We start from the raw sequence: 3,152 nt of genomic DNA, 5'->3' as shown, positions 1-3,152 counted from the left end.
ACCTACTTTTCTGAGTTCCCTTTGTCTATTTTTCCATCATTCCAAACTTCTTTATGATCAGCCTTTAGAACACCATGTTTCTCATAGAATATTTTGCTTTAGAGCTGGAAGAAGCCTCTGGAGAGTGCACATCCAGCCACTTTCTTCGGTAAATCCAGTGAAGAGATTAGAGCCAGGCATGGTTGTGCACACCTATAGTCCAAGCTCTTTGGGAAACCAAGGTGAGAGGATTGCTGGAGCCCAGGAGTTTCAGGCTGCAATGAGCTATGATCACACCACTGCACTCCAACCTAGGTAACAGAGCAAGACCCCATCTTTTAGAGAAAGAGAGTGAGAGGGAGAGAATGAGAGAAGAGAGAAAGATGAAAGAACTTGTGGATTTTTTTTTTTTGGAAGCAGCCTCATTTCTACTGAAGAGGCACTAATCCCTATGGCAGCTCTATGATGTATGTATGTATGTATGTGTGTTTACATTATACCCTATGCCCTATGATGTATGCATGTATATGTGTTTACATCACACTCTATGATGTATGTATGTTGACATCACACCCTGTGATGTATGTGTGTTTACATCACATCAAATTCTGTGATGTAAACATCAGTGTCCTCTCCCAGCATCTGAAAATCTCATTCTGGTCTTTTGTTTCCTCCAAGATGTAGTCTCCATCCCAGGATAAAAAACTGTTATACTTTGCTTGTTTCTATTTCCATGGTGTCCCCTGGGAAGAGAATGAATTCACAATGTGTATTAGTCAGCAAGGGAAATATCCATCCTCCTGATCCAATTACCTCCTACCAGGTCTTCCTCCAACATTGGGGATTACAATGTGACATAATATTTGGGCAGGGACACAAATCCAAACCATATTATTCTGCCCCTGCCTCTCCCAAATCTCATGTCCTTCTGACACTTCAAAACACAATCATGTCTTCCTAACACTCCCCTGTATTAGTCCATTCTCGCACTGCTATAAATAACCAATTAAGACTGGGTAGTTTATAAAGAAAAGAGGTTTAATTGGCTCACAGTTCCACAGGCTGTGCAGGAGGCATAACTGTGGAGGACTCAGGAAACTTATAGTCGTGGTGGAAGGCAAAGGGGAAGCAAGCATGTCTTCACATGGCTGGCGGGAGAGAGAGAGAGAGAGAGAAGGGTGAAGTGCTATACATTTTCAAACAACCAAATCTCGTGAGAACTCACTCACTCTCACAAGAACAGCAAGGGGGAAATCCACCCCTGTGATCCAATCACCTTCTACCAGGTCCTTTCCCCAACATTGGGGATTACCATTCAACATGAAATATGAGTGGGGACACAGAACAAAACCATATCATTCTGCCCCCAGCCCCTCGCAAATCTCATGGCTTTCTCACATTTCAAAAGACAATCATGCCTTCCCAACAGTCTTCCAAAATCTTAACTCATTCCAGCATTAACTCAAAAGTCCACAGTCCAAAGTCTCATCTGAGATAAAGCAAGTCCCTTCTGCCTATGAGCCTGTAAAATCAAAACCAGTTAGTTATTTCCAAGAGACAATGGGGTACAGGCATTGGCTAAATGTTCCCATTCCAAAAGGGAGAAATCATCCAAAACAAAAGGGCTACAGGCCCCATGCAAGTCTGAAACCCAGCAGGGTAGTAATTAAATCTTAAAGCTCTAAAATAATCTTCTTTGACTCCATATCTCACTTCCAAGCAACACTGATGCAAGGGCTGGGCTCCCAAGGCCTTGGGCATCTCTGCTCCTGTGGCTCTGCAGGATACAGAGTCATCGGCTGCTTTCACAGGCTGCCATTGAGGGCCTGTGGCTTCTCCAGGCACACAGTGCAAGCTGTTGGTGGATCTACCATTCTGGGGTCTGGAGGGCTGTGGCCCTCTTCTCATAGCTCCACGAGGCAGTGCCCCAGTGTGGACTCTGTGTGGGGGCTCCAACCCCACATTTCCTGTCTGTACTGCCCTTGCCGAGGTTCTTCATGAGGGCTGCGCCCCTGCAGCAGACTTCTGCCTGGACATACAGGCATTTCCATACATCCTCTGAAATCTAGGCAGAGGCTCCCTGCCTCAACTCTTGCCCTCTGTGCACCAGCAGGCTTAACATCATGTGAAAGCTGCCAAGACTTATGGGTCATGCCCTCTGGAGCAGCGGCCTGACACATGTGGGGCCCTTTTAGCTGCAACTGGAGCTTATGTGGCTGGGACATACGGAGCAGTGTCCTGAGGTTGGGCAGAGCAGCAGGGCCCTGGGCCAAGCCCATGAAACCATTCTTCCCTCCTAGGCCTCTGGGCCTGTGATGGGAGGGGCTGCCACAAAGGTCTCTGAAATGCCTTGGAGGCATTTGCTCCATTGTCTTGGCTGCTAACATTCAGCTCCTCTTTACTTGTGTGAATTTCTGCAGCCAACTTGAATTCCTCCTCAGAAAATGGATTTTTCCTTTCTACCACATGGCCTGGCTGCAAATTTTCCAAACTTTTATGCTCTGCTTCCTTTTTAAATACAAGTTTCAGTTTCAGAATACCTCTTTCCTCACAAATATAAGCATATGCTGTTAGAAGTAGACAGGCCACCTCTTGAATGCTTTGCTGCTTAGAAATTTTTTCTGCCAGATACCCTAAATCATCTCTCTTAAGTTCAAAGTTTCACATATCCCTAGAGCAGGATATGCTGCCTGTCTCTTTGCTAAAGTATAGCAAGAGTGACCTTTGCTCCTGTTCCTGATAAGTTCCTCATCTCAATCTGAGACCTCCTCAGCTTGAACTTCATTGTCCATATCACTACCAGCATTTGGGTCACAACAATTTAACAAGTCTCTAGGAAGTTCCAAACTTTTGTCTTCTTTTGAGGCCTCCAAACTGTTCCAACCTCTGTCCATTACCCAGTTCCAAAGTCGTTTCCAAATTTTCAGGTATCTGCCAATTTTCTGTATTGCTATAAAGAACTACCTGAGACTGGGTAATTTATAAAGAAAATAGTTTTAATTGGCTCAAAGTTCCTCAGGCTGTACAGGAAGCATGGCTGGAGAGGCCTCTGGAAACTTACAATTATGGTAGAAGGGGAAGGGGAATCTGGGAAGTCCTATATGGCTGGAGCAGGAGGAAGAGAGTGAAGCGGGAGGTGCTACACACTTTTAAACAATCAGATCTTGTGAGAA

General features: G+C 45.2%; 1 annotated feature.

Moving 5' to 3' along the window:
* Positions 1,934–2,113: a silencer, noted in NCBI's record as "fragment chr5:111899215-111899394 (GRCh37/hg19 assembly coordinates)". NCBI's record gives its function as "represses an EF-1alpha promoter that drives an FKBP-Casp9 reporter gene in an ReSE screen in HepG2 liver carcinoma cells {active_cell/tissue: HepG2}" and the evidence as "EXISTENCE:reporter gene assay evidence [ECO:0000049][PMID:32094911]".

This window comes from Homo sapiens, chromosome 5 (genome assembly GCF_000001405.40).
Source record: "Homo sapiens chromosome 5, GRCh38.p14 Primary Assembly".
Classification (NCBI taxonomy): domain Eukaryota; kingdom Metazoa; phylum Chordata; class Mammalia; order Primates; family Hominidae; genus Homo; species Homo sapiens.
This window is presented reverse-complemented; position numbering and strand designations above follow the sequence as displayed.